General features: G+C 46.8%; 1 protein-coding gene and 1 long non-coding RNA gene across 2 annotated transcripts in view, besides 4 other annotated features; one reads left to right on the forward strand and one right to left on the reverse strand.

Annotated features, from left to right (window-relative positions):
• The window catches only part of LIPC (lipase C, hepatic type), a 137,854-nt gene that overhangs the window by 19,447 nt on the left and 90,825 nt on the right, over positions 1 to 27,582 (forward strand). The window lies entirely within an intron of this gene.
• LIPC-AS1 (LIPC antisense RNA 1) overlaps positions 1 to 27,582 on the reverse strand; it is a 63,835-nt gene that overhangs the window by 16,537 nt on the left and 19,716 nt on the right. The window lies entirely within an intron of this gene.
• Positions 6,821 to 6,880: a silencer, noted in NCBI's record as "silent region_6479". NCBI's record gives its function as "represses an Ori minimal core promoter by ATAC-STARR-seq in GM12878 lymphoblastoid cells {active_cell/tissue: GM12878}" and the evidence as "EXISTENCE:reporter gene assay evidence [ECO:0000049][PMID:35858748]".
• Positions 8,416 to 8,555: an enhancer, noted in NCBI's record as "active region_9471". NCBI's record gives its function as "activates an Ori minimal core promoter by ATAC-STARR-seq in GM12878 lymphoblastoid cells {active_cell/tissue: GM12878}" and the evidence as "EXISTENCE:reporter gene assay evidence [ECO:0000049][PMID:35858748]".
• Positions 8,586 to 8,645: an enhancer, noted in NCBI's record as "active region_9472". NCBI's record gives its function as "activates an Ori minimal core promoter by ATAC-STARR-seq in GM12878 lymphoblastoid cells {active_cell/tissue: GM12878}" and the evidence as "EXISTENCE:reporter gene assay evidence [ECO:0000049][PMID:35858748]".
• Positions 12,707 to 12,796: a silencer, noted in NCBI's record as "silent region_6480". NCBI's record gives its function as "represses an Ori minimal core promoter by ATAC-STARR-seq in GM12878 lymphoblastoid cells {active_cell/tissue: GM12878}" and the evidence as "EXISTENCE:reporter gene assay evidence [ECO:0000049][PMID:35858748]".

Raw genomic sequence — 27,582 nt, forward strand, 5'->3', positions numbered from 1 at the left:
CCCTTCTCCCTTCATAACACTTCAGAGTGCCAGATTCCTCAGTCCTTGGAACTCAAACTTCCAGAGAGACCACACTTCATCACATACCTATGGCACATGTTCCAGAAATGATTCTGGCCAGGTGTCCACCCCTGAATAGATGGCCACAGGCAGGAGAATGGGATGTCTGATTGGTCTGATTTGGGAAACATCCTATCCACCACTTGGATAGGATCAACTTTACCCAAACAGGACTGATCAGGATCCACATGGGAGGTTCGCTCCTTTGGAGGAGGAGATGCCAGCAGACCGTGGAGGACTGGCTGTGAGGCACGAGGATGAGCGGGAGGCAAGGGCGGCTCCTGCTTCCACAGAGGCGAGCAGGAGGATGCTCCTGCCCTGCTCACACAGCTGTGGCTCTGCACCTTGCTCCCCGCTAGAAGGTGGGCTATCGTAGCTAAGCTACCTGGGCAGAGCAGACCTCGTGAGTGTGGGGAAAATCCTGGGCAGCATAACAGACTCATTTGTAGGGCAAAGGGATTTTCAGTTAGTTCTGTAACACACTGGAGAACCAACACAATGCTCAAGCATCGTTCCTCCCAGAGGAAGCAGATGGGTGAGATAAATAAAACCACACTTTCATTGGCATCCTAGGATGCTCGGGGCCCTATTTTCAAGGCTGTGTATGTTGAATACACATTTCAGTGATGCTTTAGTCTATTCCACAGTGATTCTCAAATTGTGGCCCCCAGGCCAACAGTATCACCATGCCCCGGGAACTTGTTTGAAAGACAAATTCTCCATCCCACTCAAGACCTCCTGAATCAGAAACTCTGGGTATGGGGCCCGGCAGTCTGGGTTTTAACGCACCCTCTGGGTGATTCTGAAACAGGCACCAAAGTTTGAGAACGTCTGCCTATAAATGTATTTGATCCAATCCATCAAGTTCAAAGGGACCACCTACTATAAAAACTAAGGCTTATGTTCAGGGTTTATTGAGCAGTCTGAATTTAGAAGAGTGTGAACGTGAAACAGTTTTCTATTTCTCCCATTCCAGCCTTCAGCCACGCACTATCAAGTTATATGCTTCCATCCCTTTATAGCATCCTGGGCAGATTCCTTTAACTTTTGGTCAGTTCGATTATTAAGTTATTTTACTTTATTCTAAAGCCTCAATCTCACATCTGATTTGACATTCTTCCCTTCTCTCATGAGCTAGACTCAAAGAAGATGGAATCTGCAGTGGGGAGGGGATAGGATAGTTCTGCTCTTTCACTCCTCTTTTCTCTGGAGCACCGTGGGGTAGGGTGGAGTGGGATGGGGTGGGAGGGCAGGGTGAGGCCTGGTCCTGGGATTGCTGCCCCTCATTTTTCAGAGCCCAACCCCCATGGGACTGGGAGCTGGTAGTGAGGGTACAGCTGGGGGACACAGAGGTCCTCATCTCTTGTGAGTGGTCTGCTCTTGCTCTGGTTCACTGTGGTCCCATCTGCTGCTGGTGGCCTTGGCCTGTGAAGATGTGGATGTGGTTTTCTGAGGGCCCTATCGGTGTGAGCCCAGCCCATTTGTCACTAAGGACAGCTGTGGCCCCTTTTGGCTTCTCCAAAGGTCCATGCCCCTCCTACTCTGTCCTCCTGTACAAAGTCTCAGAAATGACTTCGGTCTTCTTCCCCGCCTCTGAGGATTGATGGGAGCTGAGGTGTGGGGACCCATCCCCTCAGGTACACTGCCTCATAGTATTTCTTCTCCCCGCTTGGCTGAGCCTCCTCTCTTCAGATGGCTAAAACAGGCACAACCCCCACGTTGCCACACAGTCCCATAAACTCCTATGGATACAGGTCAGTCTCTCTCCAAAACTCCATCCTCATATCCCCAGCACCACATGGGACCTAGAATAGCAACGTCTCAGCCAGCATACAGCCTGGAACAATATGACCATTTCTGCCTCCTGCAGGCACCCTCATTCCGCATTCTCGGTAAGTGATTCTAATCGGTCCCCCAACTTGAACTCTAGAGACTAACAATGGGAAGAAGAGAACTAAATTATTCTCCCAGCAATTCCTACTCTCCCTCTCCCACTTGTCTGTCTAACATGGGCTGGGGGAAGGTGGTGATGGGAATAGAGACTGCTTCTTTGAGAGCCCTGGAGTTTGAAGAATTTGGCCCCAGTTGCTGGCAACTCTCATTACAGAGTGTGGGTTCCGTACATTGGCGCGGTGGCTTATGCCTGTAATCCCAGCACTTTGGGAGGCCGAGGCAGGTGGATTGCTTGACCCCATGAGGTCAAGACCAGCCTGGGCAATATGGTGAAATCCCAACTACTAAAAGTAAAAAAAAATCAGCCAGGCCTGGTATAGTCCTAGCTACTAGGGAGGCTGAGGTGGGAGAATTGCTTGAGCCACAGAGAGCGAGGCTGCAGTGAGCCATGATCATGCACAGCAAGACCCTGTCTCAAAAAAAAAAAAGAAAAGAAAAGAAAAAGAAAAAAAATGGATAGAATGTGGGTTCCTTAGCACCTGTTGTTTCAGCAGATGTCCTGGTGCCACATTTGCTATTTGCAATGCGTCTTCACATACATTATCTCAGTTGACCCCACAGTGATTCTGTGAGGTGTTTAACCTATAAGGAAACAGGCTCAGAGAGATTAAGTGACAAGCCCAAGGTCACACATGCAGAGGTGATGGCAAGATGGGAACCCAGCCCAGTGACTCCTGAGCACCTGTTCTCTCCCTGCTGTTTCATGCAGGTGCCTCAGCCACACTTGTCTTCCAGCTCTGGGTGAACTTGGAGCAAATAACCAGAGAAATAGCTTGTCTCCAAGGCCACAGAGCAGCTGGCAGGGGAGAGTTTGGGGCAAGGGATTTCCTTAGGGAAAACACCAATTCGTTCTGGTCATGCCCAGTCACATGGGTCCCAACCATCACCTTCCCAGGCCAAGGTCTTAGGTTCCCCTGGAACCCCTTTGGCTTTACTCCCTTCCTGGGCTGGGGGAAAGGGTGGGGATATAAGCTGGTACTTCCAAAGCAGAAAGCTGGGGTTTGGGGCTGACAGAGCTGACCTTGAGCTTGAGCTCCATGGAGTACCCAGCCCAGGTCAAATGGGGTCAGGAAGCCATCTGTGCCTTCTGGATGGCTCTGTCTGAATGATTCACTTCTGCCTATGGTGGGTGGAAGTTCATGGTTTTACTCCCACATGGTGACCACAGTGCATGGCAATTTTCTAGTCAACAGGTGGGGTTGGGGCCTCTGCTACACACAAGAGGCTTCTTTCTTCAAGTTTAAGACTTCTGATGCTCACAAGACCCTCCCATGCCCTTACCACGTGCAGCGCTCACCCCCAGGGCCTGGGGTTTGGTGAGATGTGTCGCCCACATGGGCTGGGATCATATTTTCCCCAGGGAAGATGAAAGCCCTCACCCTCTCACAAAGCCAATTGCTAAATTTTCAAGAATTTTGCAAGCTGATTTTTAAACATAGCCATTATTTTAAAATTACATTATAGAACTTACAATGAAACAAATGTTTAAAATGACAGTAATAAATACTCAAAACTCCTCTGTTCTCATTTTACTATTGTCTCTGTCTGTAAGGTTATTTCCGTCTGTCGTACTGTGTGGTGGAAATACTATTCAATGATACACCAAAGTGAATCTCTTCCCAACTCCGTTATCAGTAACATCACAGTGGGAGCTTAACAGCAGCCATGATGGCTGTATTTATACATGGACATTGGCAAACATTATAGATTAGGGTTTGATGTATTGTTTTGTTGACTGTGTAAAGCAAGGTTCAGCAAACTTTTCTCTGTAAAGGGCCAGACAGTAAATATTTTTCCTTTTGTAGGCCATAGGTGTCTGTTAAAACTACTCAACTCTGCTATTGCAGCACAAAAGCAGCCACAGACAATAGACACACAAATGGACCTGGCTGTGTTCCAATAAACCTAATTCACAAAAACACATGGTGCACCAGATTTGTCAGGCCATGGATTGCTAGCCCCTCATCTAGACTTAAGAGAGCCATAGAAAAAAAATGTTAGTAATGAAGATTAAATTTAGAACTGTCCCAATTGTAACTAGCACAAAACATTAAGGAAATATTCTTCCAGTGCTCAAAAACAATGATTTGATTGAGCAAAGAATTCATGTCATTGTTGAATGATTGAGTTTCAATGTGTCCTTATTTCATTTTTGTCTTCTTCATTAATGTAAATAAACCTGTCAGCCAACCTACACTTGTCATTTGCCACCATAGGTTGACTAGTGAGACAAGGGTCCAACAAACATCAGCAAAAGTATTCTGTGAAAATCAATTGCTATTTGGAGTTTACAATAAAGAATACTGTATATTTCATTATTATTTATAAATTGTATAATACCTTGATAGCAATGAAATGCACAATATATGCATGTATGCGTGTATATATATATGAATATATTTTCTTCCAGAGAGCCAGTTGCTGAGTATCCACCAATGCACCACTGCCTGAGGGGTGTCTACATAAAAAGAGACCTAACAGCCCAGAGCAGCACTTGTTAAGGACCCAAGGCATGGTCCAGACCCCAAGGAAGGGAAGGGGGTCAGGGATGGATAGACAATCTGGAAAGTTCTCCAAGGTGGTCTGAGAAGGCTTCATGGGGGACAGAGAGCCGTAAAGCATGGTAGGACTCAATGACAAATGAAGAATGGCTGTACTTCAGACAGGCACACAGCATGAGCGCAGGAGGCGAGGCTGAAGTCAGGGACACCGAGACAAGAGGGTGAGCATAGGGAAGCAGAAGGGAATGAAGTGGGGTCAAATATATGTAATGGCATGGAAACATGCTATGAGATCAAGCCAAAAGAAAAGAAAAAGTAGAATGCAAAATTTTACATTTGCATTAAGGAAAAAACACGTTAGAAGAAAATGCACTTAAATAAATTGCTCTGTGTGATAGTATGATAGCTGATTATGTATTTATCCTCAATGCTTTCTGTACCTTCCTGTTGTTCTGAAGTTGTATTACTTTGATATTCATGGGGAAAAATAAGCTTTTCCAGTATGAAGGGCAAAAAGCACTGAGCCAAACCTGAAGCCATAGCTAAGGACAGGGCACATCTCCCCTGATGCAGCCCAGAGGCCCCTGGAGGGAGGTGCTGGGGGGTGAATAGAGACTAGGGGTGTCACTCCCTCCTAGGAGGACTGCAGGAGCACATGGGTAGCCAATGCTAAGGCCTCCTGCCCCCATGGGCCTAAGTAGCCCTGTCCACACTGGGGATCTGCCCGCTACCTCATAGCCTCAGGTAGATGTCTGGTCTCTCTTTGCAAATGTCCCCCGCAACCCATCACATTCATAAAGGCAACAAATTGGGGAAAACGAGAGGTCCTCTGTCTTTTTAGGGCTTCACCACTGCTGTTTTCCCAACTAAAGAAATATGTACATATGTTTAAGTATACTTTACCATGCGTAGAATGGGAAAAACAGAAGTTATTCTAGAGAACATCTCGCTCAACTCGTTTATTTTACTAATAAGAAAATAGAAACTATGGAGGTCAAGTGGCATACCCAGGGAAACAGAGCTAAGTGAGAACTAGGCTCCAGCAGAGATGATGCCCAGGGCCGGGCACCTCCTTTGTCAGCATGCAGGTATCATCAGACAAGGCCAAAACAGCACTGGGCGATGTGGGCTGAGCAGCCCTTGGCTTCGAAAACATGATTTTTTTATTATTTTTTGAGACGGAGTTTCACTCTTGTTGCCCAGAATGGAGTGCAAAGGTGCGATCTTGGCTCACCACAACCTCCACCTCCCGGGTTCAAGCATTTCTCCTGTCTCAGCCTCCTGAGTAGCTGGGATTACAGGCAGGCACCACCACGCCTGGCTAATTTTTGTATTTTTAGCAGAGACAGGGTTTCTCCACTTTGGTCATGCTGGTCTCAAACTCCCGACCTCAGGTGATCTGCCCGCTTCAGCCTCCCAAAGTGCTGGGATTACAGGCGTGAGCCACCGCGCCCGGCAGACATGACGTATTCTAAGCACTCCTCAAATTTACCTGTGGACAGCAAGAAGGCCTACAAGGCACCCCGTTTACGATATGCCACTTGGCTCCTTCAGGGCAGAGCTGCAGCAGCAGTCCTTGTTTCTCTGTGCCCCACATCCCCTCAGCATGTAAGACCACTTCTGCCCCACCCATTGCTGAATGGGACCTTCAGATGCTATCTTCTCCATAAAGCTTTCTATGACTCAGGCCGCATCATTTTGTGGTCAACTACTTTCACTATTATTGTGTTTATTCTCCCTAAACCAGCCAAGCAATCCCATTTGGTAATCGAAAGAGCAAGTAGCACTGGCTTGGTCATTTCCTTCACATAAACCTGACTGAACTGGATATATGGTAAGGATTTCCATCTTGTACATAAACACTTGTCCACCTCCGTGATTCACACAATTCCTTTTCCACTCTATCCCGGGCCCATGTCTCCATCCTGCCCCTGATGCTGGCTCTGCAGGCATTTTCTACATGGCTGTCTGTGTACATGCCGTGTGGTTAGTCTTAAATCAAGGGCTCCTAGAGTGCATAGGACATACCAGTTTATACTTTTTCTCATCAGGAATATGTGTAGCTGGAGGATTAAGAAATACATTTTCATGAGCTAGACAATAACAAAAATTAAATGGCAAAAGTCCTTGCTGTCCTTAGTAGCTAGGGAGCTTTAAAAATAAATACATAAGCACCTGTTTCCGTTTTTTTACTCCTACAGAAGCAGGGAAATTGCTGGAGAAAAAAAAAAAATGTAAGTCCATATATTCTGTACTGTGTCCCTTGGAAGAATAAAATTTTAAATGAGGTCATCAGGAAGTGCTTCCTAAATGTGAAGTTCACAGACTGAACTTTGAAGTTTAGCAATGGACTTCCCCTGAGCAAGGTCGGCTTATGCTATTGTTAGACCAGCAGCTGAGCCTCCCCCACCACGTCCTTCTACCTCTTGCAATTAAAGCACAGCCCAGGCAGGTTTTTCTTAAACAGGATTTTTCTTTATGTTGGTGCATATGCTGCTGTTATAATAGCAGGGACATTGTCCTCATTCCCAGCTCTTTCCTCCAAGTCAAAACATTTAGAATGACACCACCCAAAGAATAAGTCTTACTTGAGGCTTTGCAACCTCTAACCCTTCCCACCTCTAACCTTTTCCCATCTTTATCCCCGTTATCTTGGGTGCTTTCAGTTTTCAGAGACCAGCTTTCCAACAGGGCTAAATAACACTCTATGGTTTCTTTCCCCATCAGAAACCAAAGAACTCCCTGTTTCTCAGCCCTTGCCAGCAGAATCTGGTCACCCCTCTGCCCCTCAAAATTACACATCTTATACAACTAGCTCCTGTCCCTGCACCATTCCTGTCCCTTGTCCTTGATCCTGGTTTCCCAGTGGAACAGGAAAAAGGTTTTACAGAGGGTTTTTTGCCACCATCTCTTTGTTCCTCAGGAGATGATTAAGTTGTGCGTTAAGTGGGGAAAAAGTACATTAGGTCAACCCCAAAATCTGCCATCGATAACATCAGAGTATGTCCATGGCTTTATTAGTTTTCTAGTGAATATTTAAGAGAAAAAGGTGCTAGGTCATAGAACATTGAGAAGGCTATACATCTCCCCTTGGCTATAGGTGCAATACATTCCAAGAGGGAGAGATGGTAGTCATGCCTCCTATTTTTTTAGGTGAGGTATGTATTTTGTAGTTCTGCTGGGACAAAAACAGCTTTCAGTCATTGAAAACCAAAGGCCCAGTGGACATCAGGAGGAGATGGCCTCCCTCACTGCAAGACGACCTCTGGGTCAAAGCCTAGTGAAACTTTGGCTTTTCCCAGCAAGCAGGAAGTGACATAGACAGTGTCTTTTTAGAGACCTCACTTTGGAGAATGCTCAGTGAGGGGCAAACATTTGCTGGTGACATTGTAGTTCTGTCCTTTGCTAAGCTTGAGTGAAAATCTTTTGGAGAATCGACTTTTTTCTTTCTTTTTTTTTTTTGATGTCCCTTAGAGAGCTCACAATAAATAAATAAATCAAAACAAAGCTAAAAGTTCATAAAAAAGTCTCAGGCATGGTCCAGATTTTCAGGAAACCAGCAGTTTCTGGAGGAAGTCCCACCCGCTCCTGAAAACAGAAAAAATAAACGAGAGAGAGTCCACCAGCAAACAGGTGTTTAGTCTTCTCTGGAGTCATATTAAGCAATTTTTACATTTATGGAAAAGCAAACACTCCCCCCACATAGGGTGTGGCCCACACTGGGATTGAAAATCAGCCTCGTGCTCTGCACCGTGTTCTGGTGGCTTCTGCAGCTGTCACAGGAAGGAATCCACACCCGTCCCCAAGGACGCCTGCACGGGAACAGATGCCCGCTCCCTTACCCCTTGGGGGAAGGACAGAGGTATCTGAGGGATTCAGCCCTGGGCACTCCTCTCAGCTTCCTCCTTCACAGGCGGGGCCCTGGGAGGCCCTGAGTGGGGCCACTGCGTTGCTATGAGATCAGAACGGTAGCCAGTTGGTGGGTGCAGCAGGCTCACACCTAGCAAGAACCTACCTCTCCCTTTTTCCTAAGAAGGGAAAACAACTCTCAAGGCTCACCCTGGAGGCCCAAAGGGAAGGCTGTATGGGTCCCGTACTGCAGCTTCCAAGCCCACGGTGGTTACGTCTGAGCACCCTGTAGGGCTCTGCTCTGAAAGTCTTTTCAGCTCCCAATGAGCATTGTTCAAGCCGATGAACATCCCCAAAACCCTTCCACTCTCAGGGCCTCGGCCCCACCCACCACCTGGCATCTGTCTTTAAGGATGTTTATAACAGAGTTCTGAAATAAAGTTTTGGCTTTTTCCTGGAGTTCTAACTCTGCAGGAGAAGCAGTGAGGTAGGACTTTGAGGAATTCAGGAAGTGGAGAACAGCTCATGGTGAGAGGAAAGGCTGGGGCCGACTTGGGATGTGGATGTGCAAAAGGAAAGGTGAAGGCTGGATGGGAGGCAGGGTGGGCACAGTTAAGGTGGGCCCTGGGCCAGGATGGCCTCCCAACCAGAGAGTAGCCTTCAACATCTCAGCCTCGTACTGCGTGCCAGACACTCTACCAAGCCCTCCACTTAGGTAATAATCACGTCTTCCACCCTCACTCTCACCCTGTAAGGGAGCTCTTAGAATAACGCTGCTCTCCACGGCTGGGAAACCCAGGCTCTGATGGGTGACATCACTTGTTCAAGGTCACTCAGCCAGTAAGGGCCAGGCTGGGCTGCAAACTCAATGGCCCACTGCAGAGCTCACACAGGTCCATTTCCTACTCGCCATGATGTTTTCCAGGGAGAGTTTAGAGAAGCTCTGGAGCTGGGAAAAGAGGGCAGCTGTTAGAGAACAGCCAGCGAGAATGGGAAGTCAGGAGACCCAGAGCTCAGGAACAGACTTCCTTGGCAGGTGGCGTAGTCCCATGGCCTCTTTAGCTCTCAGTTTTCTCATCTGCAAGAGGACAATGGGCCAGATTGGTGCTTCTCTGAGAGAAAGTACCAGTGGTTTTGACCAAGGGACTGACCCGAACATGGCATGTAAGAGGGGTTTGTTTGGGGTTGGTCCACAGGATGGTTACAGAGGAAGGAAGAAAGCCACCAAGGCCAATTTGAAGATGTGCAGAAACCCAGAAGTGAGGTGAGGACGGCAGTTCTCAAGTGCAGAGCTTGAAGTGGTCACTGCTGGGAGGGAGACGTCATAACAAGACCCAGGAAACACTTCAAAGGAAAAACTAACAGCATTTAAAGATTGGCTGCAATAGTAACAATAAAAAAAGCTAACATTTACTGAAGGCTATACCAGTTATCCCACCAAGTGCTCAACTACCAATCCTCACAGCAGCCAGCTGCAGGAATTATCATTGCTCCCACTTTATAGATAAGGAAACTGAAGTTTATAGAGGCAGAGAAACTTGCCCAAAGTCACAAAGCTGGCAACTCCCAGAGCCAGGATTTGAACACAGTCTCAGTACAGAGCCTATGGTTTCTTTGTTTTTGAGACAAAGTCTCACTCTGTCACCAAGGCTGGAGTGCAGTGGCTCGATCTTGGCTCACTGCAACAATTGCTTGGCTCCCTGGTTCAAGCGATTCTCCTGCCTCAGCCTCCCGATTAGCTGGGATTACTGGTGTGCACCACCATGCCAGGCTAATTTTTGATTTTTTTTTTTTTTTAGTAGATATGGAGTTTCACCACATTGGCCAGGCTGGTCTCGAACTCCTGACCTCAAGTGATCTGCCTGCCTTGGCCTCCCAGAATGCTGGGATTACAGGGGTGAGCCACTGGGCCCCGCCACCTATGTTCTTAATCCCCGTGCAACTCTGCCTCCTATCTATGTGCCGAAGAAAGGAACAACACTCCCCTCCAGACCTCTGCCTTTCACACCCATTGGCCTTGGATGCCCTTGTCTCCCCCCGGTTCCGATTCCCTTCAAATTCCAGCTCCTTTAAACTTTCACACCTTACTCTGTCCACCCCTCCACACCTGCCTCGTGCTGTCCCCCCGCCCCCACATCCCACTCCACCCCCACAGTTCAAACCTGCTCATGGAAGTCCTGGAATGTGTTTTCTCCCTCATCCTCAGTCCCACCCATCACACAGCCTGCACTGGATCATCCAAGTTACATGCCAAATGTCTGTACCCCTCTGTGTCCAAGTGAGGCCCACCTTCCTCTTTGCTTCTGTCATCTATTTTCCTGTTTCTTGCATGCATTGCACTGTGTTCATTATGTCTATTGTTGACTGCTTGTTCATATTTCCACCTTCCCTATAGGATCGTGAGTGCTTTGAAGGCAGAGAGAGGCTGGGCCTTAGTACAGTCTGTTTGCAGCACATGGCATATAGTGGATGCTGGAGAAATGTTGATGACTGAATTGACATGATTGATTGATTGGATCAAATGAATGAACACAAGAATAAATGAACATCGGGATCCAGGAAAGGGGTCCTTCTGGCACCAACCCTATTCTGTCCCCCTAAACAGTATTACATTTAGTGTTTATGATAAAGGCTTTCAGCACCTTTTTGAAGAGTTGGTACCACTGGTCCACTTTCTGCCCTGCCCTTAATCCATCCAATTGGTTTAGATACTCACACATACATTCTTTCTTTCTCTCTCCTTCCCTTACTGGACCCCAGACCAAAGCCAAAGAAATAAATGTCCCCTCTCCTGCTCTGTTTCCACTTAGATAAATTAATCCTCAGCATGAGAGGAACCAAAGCCAGCACCTTAGAAGTCAGGCTCCTGTCAGCTCGGTTTGCTCACCTGCACACAGCCCTTGACTTCCTCCTCCTGTGTGGGAGGAGCACAGCCCTGACTCAGAGGCCACTCCAGGCAATCCTCTCCTCCCAGGCAATCCTATAAGGAACCCACTGGCTGAGCTCTGGCCTCTCGGCAGAGGGGGCAGGCCTGAAGAACCCTTTCCAAGACCAGCTGAGCTCTGCTGGTCCGCTGGGCCCTGCCTGCAGAGTTATTGGCGGAGTTATTCTTGGTGCTCATTAGCACTGCACAGGCTGTGGATTATTCCTTTATTGCTAAGTGGCCCCCAGAACACTGCAGACTCATCCCTCCTTTTGAAGTCCTTGTAAAAGACTCCAAGAAGTCGATTCCAATCTCTTCTCTCCCAGCGTGGACTGCCCCTGGAGCAGCACTGGGGGTGTGTGGCTGTTAGAGTGGCAGCCAAGGGCCAGCTCCCCAGTGAAAGGTGATATTGTGCTTCTACCGCACACCTGCACGTTGGGATGGTGTTTGCCTTCCGGCCTGACTGCTCTGTTCTCATCTTCCATGGACATGGAGGTGGGAGGGGAACTTATGTGTCATTCACTCCAGGGTCCTGATGGCCACTTGCGTAGAGCAAAGAATGTTGGTAGGGCCTGCAGTCTAGGTTCTAGCTTCAGTGAGCTCTGGGGCCTCGGGAAAAGGGCTTGATCCCTCAGAACATCTGCAGGAGTCTGTGACCCAGACCACACCAAGCTTTCAGAAACTGCTCTGCTCTTTTACTCTCCCACTCCTCTCCACCCTCTCAAGCTGTGCTATATCCACAATGCACCAGCCCAGGCTGACTCAACTTCCCGCCCACTGCTCCCCTTTAAGCTACAGCACCCACCATTTTGCCCCAAACTCGTCTATCCTACCTGAGCTCCTGCAGCCAGACTGGGTCACCCATGCCCCTCCTCTAACCAGGAAAGAAAGGAAAGAATCCATCAGGTCTTTTCTGTGTCCTGAGATTGCGCAGGTATTCACCCGCTCCACTCCCATCTCCTTGACCTCTTTCTTGCCCTGTTTCTCGGCGACCTAGGCATTGGGTCCTGGTCAGTTTTCCACTTTTCCATCACTCCCTTAGGACCCCTCAACCTCTCTGCTCATCAAAAAAGTCCAATAAAGGCATTCATCTCTTTGAATACTTAATTTTACAGTACCTCTTGCATAACTTTCAAGTTTGAGGTCAATACAAATAAAATCATTTAAAATGTCTGATATTAAACACTTCTGACCCGAAAAGCAAAAAGCCTTTTAACAGATAGTTACATTGATACAAGAGTCCACAATGACAGGTTTCAAAGATGAAAGTAATGGATCAGTAAATAGAACAGTAGAGAAAACACAGATGAAAGGCAAATAACCCCACCTGAAAAATCCAAAGCTTTCATTTTTTTTGAAAAAAAAATTGTCAAAAGCACTGTATTATTTTTTAAAATCATGATAAAAGGAGCATGCACCTGTCACCCTCCCAACCCCCTCTATACTTGCCCCTTTCTATCTTTAAGTGCTGTGGTCTTTGTGGTGACTTTATTGGCTCAAGTTTCCTAGGCTGGTACTCTCAGAGCCTGGTTTCCTAGGAGCAGTACTCATAACGCAGGTGCGATGGACACCTGTAGGTGGGTAGTGCCGCCTGTGTGAACCAACTCGGCTCCAAAGAGCCTAACTCCCTATCTGCATGGTTAATCCAATCAAAGCCCAACCTGCTTTCCCACACAACAGAGTTCAACAGAGCTTTTCATTAAAGCAACACATCATAGCAAATACTTAACTAGTACAAATAAAGCATTTTATTTAAAGCAAGGTTTAAAGACATATAAACATTAAGCATCAGAGCTCCATTCTTTAGTTGCTATTCATCACAGCTTATGCCAGTCCTTGAATTCTGTCTAACTTGGGTAGTAGCCAATTTTCTAACTCACCTTCAACTTCTTGGGATGAGTCCTTCCCGGGCTCCTTGTTTTTCTAGAAATTTCAGTGGCTTGACCACACATCAAAACACACAGGGTGGCCAGGCATGGTGGCTCACACCTGTAATCCCAGCACTTTGGGAAGCCAAGGCGGGCAGATCATCTGAGGTCAGGGGTTCAAAACTAGCTTGGGCAACATGGTGAAACTCGGTCTGTACTAAAAATACAAAAGTTAGCTGGGTGTGGTGGTGTGCACCTGTAGTCCCAGCTACTCAGGAGACTGAGGCAGAAAAATCGCTTGAACCTGGGAGGTGGAGGTTGCAGTGAGCCAAGACTGTGCCACTGTACTCCAGCCTGGGCAACAGAGTGAGACTCTGTCTCAAAAATGGGGAGCGAGGGGGGAGCCCACCACACAACAAAACATATAGGGCTTCTCATCTAAAGTCCGAATAAAAGAATAATACTATGGCTGGTTTGCACTGGAGGAAAGAAAAGCCCTATCACTGCTACCTTACTTTTCTGATGTTTTGGGTTCCTATGTCTTATCCCCTCAGGAACCAGGGGAAAAAGAAGATTCTGTGTCAAGTGCACCCTACATCTGTCCATGTCACCCCCCTTCTTCCAATCAGAACAACTCATTTCCCCCACTTGACTGCTCCCCTAATCTTTGCACCTTGGAGCAGGATGTGTTTATTGATTGATGGATATTTACTTATAATTGGTACCTCTTATGAAAGCCAACAGTTTTTACATCTGGCTTTTAACACAGACTGTGCTCTTCAATAGTCTTAGTGTAGACTGAAGGTTTTTCAAATTCACATTTTTAGAAAAGAGTTCCATTAAATTCCACATGAACAACAGAAAAAAATTTAAATGGGACATTACAGTGATCAATTATAGATTGTAGGACATGACTGACATGTAGGGCTGGGCTGGGAGGAAGAGACAAAGACCAAATGCTCAACCAAGGGCAGAGGTGAGGTGTAGATTACGGGTCAGAACCGTAACATAACGGATGGAGTCCCAAGTGAATCCAGGAAGTTGGAGGAAGCAGGTAAGTACTTGGGTTAGGCATTCACAGGCCTAGGAAGTCAGCTGGGGCAGGAAGGCTCAGACAAGGCAAGGGGACCAGGAAGCTTGGACCCGTCCTGGGAAGATAGAGTCCAAGAGGGCAGTCATCACCGGTCCCACACTAAAAGCATCAAAGCTCTCTAATCTTCTGTCTTCTCTACTCTCTCTGGTGTGTTGTCAAGGAAGGAATAGGTACGTGGGAAACTAGGGAGACAATCATAGCCCTCGATGTCTACCGTTTCTAATTAATACAGGGCAGAGGAATTAGATCTTTTGGTAGAGATCTAAAATTCCTCTGAAGTTCTATCAAGCCCCATCTCCTGATGATTCAGTGCTAGTTCTAAAATAGGAAAACTTACTTCCAAAACCAACAGATGTTTGGGCTGTCATCATTATGCCTGTACTAAACTCACTTGTGATTTCACTGTGAAGTCCTGTCTGTGTAATTTATTAGGAATCATTTATGTAAGATTATGTAGAAAATGTTACTAGTCGTGAGATATCTATCCATCTCAATGATTTGACTTTTACAGCAATGCGATGGGACGTGCTGAGGGACCATTTGGTCAACTTTCCACCTAATGGTGGTGTGATTAGAACTCCTAGCGGGTGACTCATAGAGAGTGATTAGAAGTAAAAAGGTTCTGGAAATTCCCCCACACTCTTTAAGGCAGCCTTTGTCAGGTGTCTTAGTTTCGTGAAAGGTAGACTGATGTTTTCCATCTGGTATACAAAACATTTTCTAAGTAGTTATAGAACCTTGAACAAGCCACTTAGCTCTCTGGGCCTGAGTTTTCTCATCTTATAAAATTAAATCCATCAATAGATCACATGATCTCTATGGCTTCTTTATTCTAAGGATGTATGGTAATTTTAAACACTTGGTTAGCCATCTTGACCAAACTAGCATCACAGGTAAGAAACAAGCTGCGAAGACCAAAATTCTTCTCTGGTTTATACACTCTGGGTCAGAGGCAACCACTTTCTATGTTGTTTGGGCTACTTTTCCCTAAACACATAATGGCTTTGTCTGCATCAAAGGTCATCTTCTATTTTCCTGCCCATTCATATGACCCCATAAGACCTTCCAGCATCTCAGTCAGCTGAGCATTTTACCTCCTGCAAAGCACATGGTTTCCTTCTTCTCTTTGCAGGTCATATGAAATGCTCACACAGTACTTACTGTAATCACTTCGTAAAGTTGATTTTCACATATCTTCATCCAGAAAATTATCCCAACTGTTATATATAACTTTATTCTAATTGAATAATTCCAGTTTTCAAGACACTTTTCAGACACCCATTGTCTTGTCTGAATCCTCATGACAACCTCATTTTTTTATAGATTATACAGCATTCCTACTTATATATAATAGTTATAACTTTTTATTCCTAATAAACTTTGGCATGACGTTTCATCAGATTCTGATAGTTTCTTTTGTTTTTCATTCATTGCATTCCCATCCAAATGTTTACTGACCCTGGGAAATAAATCCAGTAGACCAATGAAGCATGAATCCAACTCACAGAGGGTGGTTAGAACTAAAAGCTGAAATGGACTTCCGTGATCACCTGACCCACTCATCCCTGACCGTAGGCTCTTGTTCACAGCGGCCAAAACGTGCATGTCTCTCAGGGGCTTCCTGCTTGTGGAGCAGAACCTTTGCTTGCGGGCTCCTTGTGTCTGTGAGCTCCTCAGAACCGCTCTTGAGCTCACAGTGCCTGATTTGCACGTATTGGTTTCCGCTCCGTTGCTTATTCTGGTCCCCTCATAGAAGCAATGTTATCCTTTCTTCAAACCCGTCCTTTCCCAGAGAGCTTTGCAGCCACTTTTACCGGGTTTAATGAGTCAGCTGCAGAGTTTATGATCCGGTACTAGGCCTTCTGGGAAGCAGCTTTCCTGGGCTTACGTCAGGCTGTTAAAGACCCTCCTGGCCTTCCTGCCGACATTTGCTCGGCTACTTTTTCCTCCTAATTAATGCCTCTATCTTATCAGAGTGGCCCATTCTCAAATGCAGTAAATGAGTCCTTGATGTTCTATGTTTTATTTTGGAAACTTCCCACTCTGCTCATATCTGAATTGGTATTTGCTCACTGTTGCGCAGTGGTTTGCCTACCAGGTATCCCTTACATCAAATCCTGTCCGCCGCTTAGAAAAACCACAGCTAAAAGTTGTTTGGCAACTCTTGGTGTTCACAGGGTTTTCCCACTGAGGGTCAGGGACTGCACAGCGGTTGAGAGCTTGGACTCCGGGGTCAGCTGGAACTGCTTCTAACACAAGGACCGCTCTTAACAAAGAACTGAGGCTTCCTAAACTTCAGTTTCTGGGTCTGTAAAATAATAGGACCCACTTCCTATAAATGTTGAGAAGATTAATGGGAATGATGCATGTAAAATGCTCGGTACATGATAAAAGCCCAGTGATTACTCATTATCCCACTCAATGCTTGGGGAAAGGCAAAGCAGCTAATATTACCCCAGATTATAGATAAGAATACTGGGTTCAAAAGAGATCACTTGGCTTACCCTTGTCTATACTGCACCTGCATGAATCATGGACCTGAACCCAGGTCACGGCCACCTCCCAGACCCTTGCTCTCTCTGCTTCCCCAGCAGCGCCTCTCAGAGTGAACACCTATGTCCATGACAGTGATTCCCAAAGTGTTGTCCCCAAACCAGCAGCATCAGCATCACCTGGGAACTTGTTAGACATGTTAGGGTCTCACCCCAGACCTAATGAATCAGAAACTCTGAGAATGAGGGCCCACAATCTGGGTTTTAGCAAGATCTCCAGAAGATTCTGATGCACACCCGTTTGAGAACCAAAGCTCCATGGAATACTAATTTGCCTTTGGATCTAGCCCTGCCGCCCACTCGAGATGGATGGTCCACAAATCTCAATGTGATTCCTAACATGAGTTAAGCTGTCCAACCCTGTGACGTTATCAGGGGATTTGTGATTAATACATAGTGACACCATTTAACTGTGGCAGAGGTTCTTACCCTTGGAAGCTCATTAGAATCATCTAGGGAACTTATAACAGAAAGGCCCACCCCAGACCAGTTCAGATCTAAAGACAGCCTGGACTGACAACCACAGAACTACAGAGCTGCCACCCAGACTCCATGGAACTCTGCTAGGCTGGTAATATTTTTAATTCATTAAGGGTTTATGTGTTTAACAACCCAGGTCCAGTAAATTGGCTCCTTTCCTCCCTATGAACCTTGGACACTCTGGCTGGTCAAGCCTCCACCTCATGCCCACTTGTTTGCACAGCTACTAACGTTTATGAAGTATTTGCTTAATGTACCTAAGCTCCACTGCCCAGAGCTATCCCACTTGATCTGAAAACGTCATGATGAGGTATGGTAAGCATTAAACATTAGTTCACCATAGTTCTATTTTTTTCTAATAACTTAAACGGCTTCAGGGAACATTTTGTGTGTGTGTGTGTGTGTGTGTGTGTGTGTGTGTGTGTGTACGCCTTAAGAGACTGGATCTCACTCTGTTGCCCAGGCTGGAGTGCAGTGGCATGATCGTAGTTTACTCTAACATTGAACTCCTGGCCCAAGTAATCCTCCTGCCTCAGCCTCCCAAAGCACTGGGATCACAGGCATGAACCACCATACCCACCCTAAGGAATATAGTTTTTTGAGCATGTTGGAGTACTCAGAACTCTCAGCTCAGCTCTTGGCCCACTTGGGTCTCAACCATTTAGAGTACTGATTACCAAAGGAAGAGCACAAAGGAAGAAAATCAGCTTTTCTCCTCTTCCTCAGTGTGGGAGAGGGGATTTGGCTTGGGCTCAAAGCCATAGTGATGCTTTCTGCTCCACCCCCTTTCAATTAAAGATCACCAGCTTCCCAAAAACAGGCCACCCTCATTTTCCAACCTGGCTCAGGCAGGGAAGCTGAGAAGCTTGGGGCTGCCCATTCACCCAGTCACCAGGCAGATAGACAGGTAAGAGAACTGGGACCTTCAGGCCTGCCCTCGGGAGGACTGGCCACCAGGCTTTACAGCCCAGAGCAGAGAAACACTGTGGCCGTTGCAAAACTCCTTGAGTGAAGTGACCCTACCCTCTACTAAAAACGTGGCCCAGTGGATTCCAGTTACTAACAAAGCTCGTTGAGAAGATGCAAGAAAGGAATGGAACAATGGCTAGGACCTCCCCGCGGCAGCACTTCCCCCAAGAGAATAGAGGAGCTGATGGGCACGTCACATTTTTCTCAATGCTGGATGACATTCCATCACCTTCCTCATCTTCATGGAATTTTTTTTTTTTTTTTTGAGACAAGGTCTCCCTTTATCACCCAAACTGGAGTGCAGTGGTGCAATCATGCCTCACTGCAGTCTTGACCTCCCAGGCTCAAGGGATCTTCCCACCTCAGACTCCTGAGTAGCTGGGACTACGGGTACATACCACCACACCCGGATAATTTTTGTAATTTTTTAGAGATAAGGTTTCACCACATTGCCCAAGCTGGTCTCAAATTCATGGCCTCAAACAGTGCTTCGGGTTCAGCCTCCCAAAGTGCTGAGATTACAGGCATGAGTCACCGCACCCAGCTGGAATGCATTCTTTGAATTTTAAAAGACTGTAAATGAGAGATTTGTTCAGAGAAGAGGGTGTTTCCTATGTACAAAACCAAAGACCAGCTTTTATTTTTTATTAGGTATTATAGTCACAAAGGTATGAAAGGGTATATAGTAATAAGTCTAAGAAATTTTTATGAAGTTTTTGAAGTAAAAAGCATTTTTATAAAATTTTAAATAAAAATTTTAATAAAATTACTCAATTGTTAAATGTAACTTAAAATTACTTTTTCATAAAATTACTCATTTTATAAAACACATTTTTCCTACTTTGAAAAGTAGTACATGCTTAATACAGAATTGGAAAAGACAAAAATACAGAAAGAATTGCATTTAACTCCTTTTTTTTTTTTTTTTGGTAGAGACGAAATCTCGCTCTGTCACCCAGGCTGGAGTTCTGTGGCGAGATCTCGGCTCACCGCAACCTCCGCCTCCCGGGTGCACACCATTCTGCTGCCTCAGCCTCCCCAGTAGCTGGGACTACAGGTGCCAGCCACCACACACAGCTAATTTTTATATTTTTAGTAGACATGGGATTTCACTCTATTAGCAGCCAGGATGGTCTTGATCTCCTGACCTCGTGATCCGCCCAAGTCAAAACTTCAGATTTTGCCAAACACCTTGAAAGTATGAGTAGATAGAGGAAGACTCGTCCTTTTGTCTGCCTCCTTTTCATCTTCCTAATACCTAACACCTCTCTAATCTTTCTAGAAATGGGTAAGAAAAGCTTCCATAAAGAAAGGTGGAGAGAATTGAAGCATGGTAGTATTTTTGCAGGAGAAATTATAAGGTTTGAAATTTATGGAGGCCTCAGGACATACCCAATGACCTAAGGTCTAGGCCAGAGATGGTAAGTAGGATTTTTTTTTTCTTTTCTCTTTTTTTTTTTTTTTTTTTTGAGATGCGGTCTCACTCTGTCACCCAGGCTGGAATACAGTGGTGTCATCTCGGTTCACTGCAACCTCTACCTCCCAGATTCAAGCGATTCTCCTACCTCAGCCTCCCGAGTAGCTGGGATTACAGGCACTCGCCACCATGCCTAGCTAATTTTTTTTGTATTTTTAGTAGAGATGGGGGGGGGTGGTCTCACCATGTTGGCCAAGCTGGTCTCGAACTCTTGACCTCAAATGATCCACCAGCCTTGGCCTCCCAAAGTGCTGGGGTTACAGGTGTGAGCCATCACACCCAGCTGATAAGTAGCTTTAAACACAAGTGAGGATTCTATTCCATCAGGAATGGCTGCTTTATGCAGAAGAACTCTAAGATTACATCAGGCTAAGGGTGACAGAATGCTGTAATCCATTAGCCTTATCTGTCATGGTCATGGCAGCAGCAAGAGGCAGTCTGAGTGCCATACACTGCAGTAATCTAGGGGTGAGCTGAATAGTGAATGGAGATTTGCCTAAAAGAAACTTCTGGAGTCAGTGCTCCAAAACTCTGAATCAACCAAATGAATGAATTGAGCCAAATAGAAATGCATGACTATTCAATATTTATTATGTAGAGAGGCTTAGAAAGGGCAGGCACCTGGAGTTCCTCCACCCTCCTCACCCAATCACAACTGCCCTTACTGCCCTACCAGTCCAGCCACGTGCCCTTTCCCACCCCTCTCAATGACCCTTGGGCTCCCCAGTGAAGCTCCCTGAGGGCAGGGGACATAGCTCTTTGGGGCCATAAAGGCATTAGCTCACCCTTCTCAGCCCCTTACACATTTACTGGGTACTTAGATCAGGCCAAGTGTGGTGGCTCATGCCTGTAATCCCAGCACTTTGGGAGGCCAAGGTGGGTGGATCACCTGAGGTCAGGAGTTCAAGACCAGCCTGATCAACATCGTGAAACCCCATCTCTACGAAAAATACAAAAAATTAGCCAGGCATGGTGGCACGTGCCTGTAATCCCAGCTACTCGGGAGGCTGAAGCAGGACAATCACTTGAACCTGGGAGGCAGAGGTTGCAATGAGCAAAGATTGCACCATTGCACTCCACCCTGGGCAACAGAGTGACATTTGGTCTCAAAAAAAAAAAAAAAAAAAAAAAGAAATCTTAGCAGGATTACATCTGTAACCCCGGCACTTTGGGAGGCCGAGGGAGGTGAATCACATGAGGCCAGGTGTTCAAGACCAGCCTGACCAACATGGTGAAACCCTGTCTCTACCAAAACATACAAAAGTTAGCCAAGTGTGGTAGCATGCGCCTGTAATCCCAACTACTCAGGAAGCTGAGGCATGCGAATCACTTGATCCTGGGAGATGGAGGTTGCAGTGAGCCAAGATCCTGTCACTGCACTCCAGCCTGGGCAAGAGAGTGAGACTCTTGTCTCAAAAAAAAAAAAAAAAAATCTTGCCCCTTCCCTCAAGGGGCTCACAGCCTGTGGGAGAGGGAAAATAGATATAATTATATTTAAAGAATTATAAAACAAATTGTATAAATTTAAAATTATAATTAAATCATTGTAATAATTTAGATCAGAAAAAATAAAGGCAAGTAAGTGCCAGGCATGGGGCTAAGCATTGTACTCACCCACTGTATTCCATGTTGTCTTCACAACGGCCTTATGAGGTTTGCTAGTATTGCCCCCATTTTACCAAGAAACTGAGGCTTAGAGCATTCAAGCTAGCCAAGGGCTAAGCCATGACTCAAACCCAGGTGTGTCTGACTACGGCTGTTACTAAGAGGGGAAGGGAATCATCTGAACTTGGGTTTCACTCAGAAAGGGGCATGGTTTTGTTAACTTTGAAAACACTACCACCCTACCCTCTAGCACTGGCAGAGGGGAGCTGGACGCCTGGACAGCTGGGGAGGGGGAGGACGGCAGCCAGAAGCAACAGCCTCTGCAGTCCCAGCAGCTGGGACCTCATGCCTCAACCAAGGATCAGCACTGGGTATTGGCTCAGAGTAGTGAAGGCTGCTGGGGGCCTGTGTTTCCTGCATTTCCTATGTTTATGCTGCCAGGGTGGGTTTTATGTGACCAGAGAGAAGCAGGGAAAATTGCTGAGAAGTCAGAGATCTGCCAGGGAATCAGTGATGAGCCCCAGGAAATGCTTTTTGTCTAAAAATATGCCATTTCCGAAAGGAAAACAGTCATTAGAGGGTGTGAGAAGCCCTCGTGGTGAGGAAAGCAAAACTGTAAGACTCAATGGGAGGCCAGTGGAACAACAGAGAAGCCCATTACCCACCCACTTCCTGTGCGATTAACAAGACGTTTGGAGGATGAAAGGCAAGCAGACAAAATGACAACCCACAGACACAACTCCAGGGGAAATGTCTGGGGACAGCATAGGAAGACGCAGCAGGGAGGTAGGAGGAGAAAAAACTGCTCCAGTTAATATCTTTCTGGCATCGGCTGGTTCAGCTATAGATTTGGCTAAAATTACCTGTGTACTTACTAGACGCCAGGCAGTTAGGGGGCTTTGCTTAAATCACTCTCCTGCATTCTTCACACAGCACTTGATGAAGGAGGAAAGTGAGTCTTGGAGGTTAAGTGACTTGTCCAAGGTTACACAGCTGGGAAGGGAGAAAGACATGGCTCCATCCCAGGTTCCCTGATCCCAAATCTCCCCCTCATTGCAATGTACCAAGCTGCCTCCAATAAGATCAAGAGTCTTGACGATCCCCAAGCTAGTCCACTCAGTCCAGTTTTCCTGCCAGACTATAGCTGTTTTGCATTCCTTATCTTGTGTTGAAGCAAACCAGGTAAGGAAACTCCCCACCTTTTTTATTAATGACTCATTTTCAGCCAAAACACATTGCAGCCACATCAGGTACATGTGCCCACTCAGCAAAGACGTACTGTGAGAAAGTAACATCTAAGTTACTTGGTCCAAAGCCCTTCTACATCAATCATCAAGCAACCAACCCTCCTTTGCTGAAATCTCCAGGGGACTAGGCCCTTTGGTGGGGGAAGAGGGGACGGTTTCTTCAGGGGCATCTCACCCCTGGGAAGTGCATCCTCTCTGCTGGGGGCAGTAAAAAGGCTTTACGTGGGCCACTGTGGCTCATGCCTGTAATCCCAACACTTTGGGGGCCCAAGCAGGGTGATTCACTTGAGCCCAGAAGTTTGAGACCAGCCGGGCAATATAAAGAGACCCCATCTCCACAAAAAAATACAAAATTTAGCTGGGCTTGATGGTCCCACCTGTGGTCCCACTTACTTACTTGGGAGGCTGAGGCAAGAGGATCAGAAGGTCAAGGCTGCAGTGAGCCATGATTGCACCACTGCACTCAAACCTAGGCAACAGAGCTAGACCCTGTCTCAGGAAAAAAAAAAAAAAAAAAAGAGGCTTTTCACGAATTTCACATTCCACCCTCCACCATCTTTGATGTAGGTAATTTATCAGCATTTTGTAGAGGAGGAAACAAGGTCTCCCCTACGTTGAGCCCAAATCAGTTTGACCTTGGGGAACACAGTGAGCATCCCTGCGTGGAGGTACGCAGGATCCCTGAGGGTGACAACCTTCGAGGTCGTTCCCTGGCCTCTCTGCCCAGGGTGAGCATCCTCAGAGACCTCAGCTCTCCTCTCAGCATGCAATTCTCCTCCACTCATGGCCCTCCCAGCTGCCCCTGGCTTCTCAAAGCTACTCCTGCATGGAGGCAAGTACAACTAGCCAATGAGCCTCCTGACCTGCCCCATCCCAGAGAGCAACTGCTGCTAGGTCCTCGTGGATTCTGGGCCTCTGTCCAGTGACCAAAGGAGAGGACACATCTCCAGCTACCATCCCTCCACCTATTTTCTAAGGAAACCAATGAGTTCTCAAATGCCACCTGTGGTGGCCCCTTCTCAGCCCTCACCCTGAGAGGCCTTCCCCAAGTCAGAATTTCCCACAGGGGAAGTTACTGTGGGCTTCTCTCTCCTTCCCCCACCTCATGTGGTCAGGAAGTCCAGCTGGCTTTTTCTCCTGTCTGTCTCTCAAATGTGTCCCCTGGCTCCCCTCCATTGCCACTGCCCTCTTCAGTGTCTGGCCTGTGCTCCCACAACAACAGGCTTGAAGCTGGCTGCCCTCTCCCCTCCATCTTCCACACCATAATCCAGGTGATCCTTCTAAGAGGCAAAGGTAATCATGTTTCTTCCCTGCTCAAGATCTGTCAAAAGATTCTGTGGCCTCCATAGAAAAGGCAGACAGCCCGGCCACCCAGGCCCTTCACCATCTGCCTCTTGACCATCTCCAGTGTCCTGCAGTGTCCTGAATATACCTTTTCCCTGCCTCTGCCCAACACACTCCCGTTCTTTCAACACCCAACTCAACTATTACCTTCTCTCCATCAGATCTTCCCTGAACCACCCCCCAGAAACAAAGGTGACTGTCCCCTCTGGTTCCCCACAGCCACCCCACCACTTACCCCTGTGCTCAGGCACTCCTGGAGCACTGCATTGCAACCATTGGCTCACACATCTGTCTCTACCAGCAAACCACTAAACCGTGAATAAGTGGCTTCCTGAGCCAGGCCTTGTGCAATGAATGGATTTGCAACAAAGGGAGCCACTGAGAGATTACATGAGCCAAGTCATGGCAATTAGTCCCCATGGAAGCAGCAGCTCAGGGCAGGGTCCAGACTTGGGCAGACTTAACTATGCAGGACATTCCATTAACAATAAGCACCACTCTGAGCATTTCCTATGTGCCAGGAACTACGTGAAGCTCTAGATTCTGTCATTAGAAAGGACTGAGTTAATTAATGGAAAGCAGGTAGCACAGTGCCTGACACAGTATAAGCACTGAACACACGTTAGCAAGAAAAGTGACAGATCATTTACGGGATGGTTCTTACACCAGGCAGCGTGCCAAGCACAGTCCATACATTGTCTCACTCTTCATGACAACCTTAGGAAGAGAGCAGTCCTGTTTGTCCCCATTTTACAGAAAAAGATACTGAGTCTTGGCTAGGCTAAGCGATCTGCTCAAAGTCTTCAGCTCGGAAGTAGTGGATTTGGTCTTCCATCCCCAGTCCATCTGCTCTGGCACCCAGGTTCTCAGAGTCTCTGGTACAGCAGGGTGCCAAAGTCCAGTTGAGAAGAAAGCAGGCCAGGTTTTTCAGGCACAGCCTGATGAAATATCCAGGGGAAACACATGGGACTAGCAGGCTTCTTTTTCTGTCCCATTTAGTCTAATATCACATTTAACACACCATCCTCTAAGGGACAGAAGTCACAGGAAGCCATGCAGTCTGGTTCCTCCTGATTTCTCCTGTGTGCCACATAGTTATGCTTCCTTCTGGGAAGGTGTGAGTTGGAGTCAGTCCCCTCCTGCATGCAGCTGGGGAAACTGAAGCCAACACCATTTTAGTTACTCACATGGAGCTAAGACAATCATACAAAACTCAGGCATGGGGTCAGCCCACCAGCAGTGTGGACCTCACCCTGCCGGCTGCGTTCCAAATGACAGTGGCATGGTGCCACAGAAAAAACGTGAGGTGTGCAGCTGGACCCCCAGAAGCCCTGACTCTGCCAGGTGCTAGCTCTGGGACATCTTGGGCAAGCCATTTGGCCCGAGTCTTTTTCCCCACCTATGAAACAAGCCAGAGAGCTCATTCCTCACAAGGCTGTGGTCAGAATGTGCCTCTGTACTTGAGAAGCTGTAAAATGTTCCTCAGTTGCTGCCCTTAGTAGGGAGCTCAGAGGAAAGCTAGTTTTGCCTGTGCGTTTCTGTCGGATTGCCCTGTACCCAGGGCACGTCCTGCTCTCTGACAACAATCAGGGTCATTCTAACTCAAATCAAACAACCTGGTCTCAGAACTGGTCTTGCACCACCATGGTGTTAAGCTGCCTTCCCACTTCATCCATGTTTGCTAAGCCGGGTGGGATCTTTCCCCTACAAACTCCTATAGGCGGCCACATTTTTCTTTTAAAGATATTTTCCCTTCGACTATAGTCCACAGGCATCAGAGGATGAAGCTAGCAGGTTGTCTGTATGTAGACTTTCTTCCAGGGAGGAAAGCAGCTTTGCTATCTCCTACCTTTTTAAACAAAATCTGCCTTGATTTTGTCTGCCAAGATATGTCTTTGGATGGGGTAAAGCACTTCTGAGGGAAGCTACGTGAGCCACGTTGTAGCTGGAGAGAGAATTGAAAGAGGAAGCCGAGCTGAGACCACCACAGTTCCGGGGCTGGAGCCCAGCTTTGCAGAATGCCTGCATAGCAGTTTGACCCCAACAGATGAGGCTGTTAGGGACAGAAATGAAAAGCACTGAGAGAGGGGAAGTGTGGGTGGAGCTTATGGACATTCTATGAGCCAAAGCAATTTTGAAGTCTAATCATTTGGAGGGAAAATATTTGTCATGTCATTTTAAAGGGTACAAAACAACACAGAGGAAAATGAAAGGGTTAGAAAATAATTGGAGCGCTTCTCCCTTTACCCTTGTAGAAGACAGCTCTCCGGTTTTCAGCTCCACTCATTCTGTCCTCCATTGGAAGCTCCCCCAGTGTCTTAGAGATGGATGATGTAAAAGTTAGAAAATGCCTGTGTTTCCTGCTTGCCTTAATTTAAGAAACTGCTTGACTGAAAAGTGACTGAATTTCATTTATAGGATAAAATACTTGATCTCCAGGGAAGCCAGGCCTCAATAGATGGATTTTTACCATGTCACTTCCCCCTAGACCTGTGGGAACTGACCTGAGTCTTGGGGAAAATTTGAGCCACATGGCAGTCCGCAGGTGCCCACAAGTCCCTCTATGATCTGAGTACCTGTCTTCCCAGTCTCATCTCACCTCCCTCCTCTCCAGCCAGGGGGACGTGCACCCTATACCCACCCCATGCACACCTGTCCCAGGCTCTGGCTTTCAGCTCCTACCCCAGAAATGCCCACCTCCCCCCATAGCTCAGTGTACCCAAGCTTGGCCCATCCTAAAGCCATCTCTGATAACTCCACCACAACCTGTCTTGGTCCAAGCTGGAAGTGATGAGTGAACTCTCAGAATAAATAATAGTAGCTCACATTTCTTGAGCTAAGAGCCAGACACTTCACAAACTCACTCTCACATTTCTTTTTTTGTTAGTTTGTTTGTTTGGGAGACAGTCACGCTCCATCACCCAGGCTGGAATGCAGTGGCATAATCTCGGCTCACTGTAACCTCCACCTCCTGGGTTCAAGCTTTTCTCTGGCCTCAGCCTCCCAAGTACCTGGGACTACAGGCGCACACCACCATACCTGGATAATTTTTGTATTTTTAGTAGAGATAGGGTTTCAACATGTTGGCCAGGCTGGTCTCGAGCTCCTGACCTCAAGTGATCCACCGATCTTGGCCTCCCGAAAGTGCTAGGATTATAAGCATGAGCCACTGCGCCCAGCCAGCTCACTCTCAACTTAATCCTGGAACAACCATATAATATAGGTATTACTATGATTTATCCCCATTTCATAGAGGAGGTAATTAGGACTTAGGGAGGTTATGCAAGTTACCCAAGGTCATATAGTTGATAAGTATCAGAGCCAAGAGTTGAACTCATACCACCTTTCCCAAGAGCACCTTGAGCTACTAGAACTACTGCACGCTTGTTTTGTAACATTTACAGAACTATAGTTCAGTGGGCAAAGGCCATGCATGATTCTTCACACCTCCCACAATACTGAGCCACCAGCAATCAATGCATGAATAAATGAATGAATGAGAAAATACCCACAGACTAGAGAGTTAAGGCAACTTTTACAAACATTAAAAGGATGCCATGTCAACAAAAACACATTAAGCACCAACCGTGTGGTCCACATTCTGACGGGCTCTAGGCCTCGGAGTTGAAGCCAGGGTCCACTGGACTTTCAGATGTTCAAT

Source organism: Homo sapiens, chromosome 15 (genome assembly GCF_000001405.40).
Source record: "Homo sapiens chromosome 15, GRCh38.p14 Primary Assembly".
Classification (NCBI taxonomy): Eukaryota; Metazoa; Chordata; class Mammalia; order Primates; family Hominidae; genus Homo; species Homo sapiens.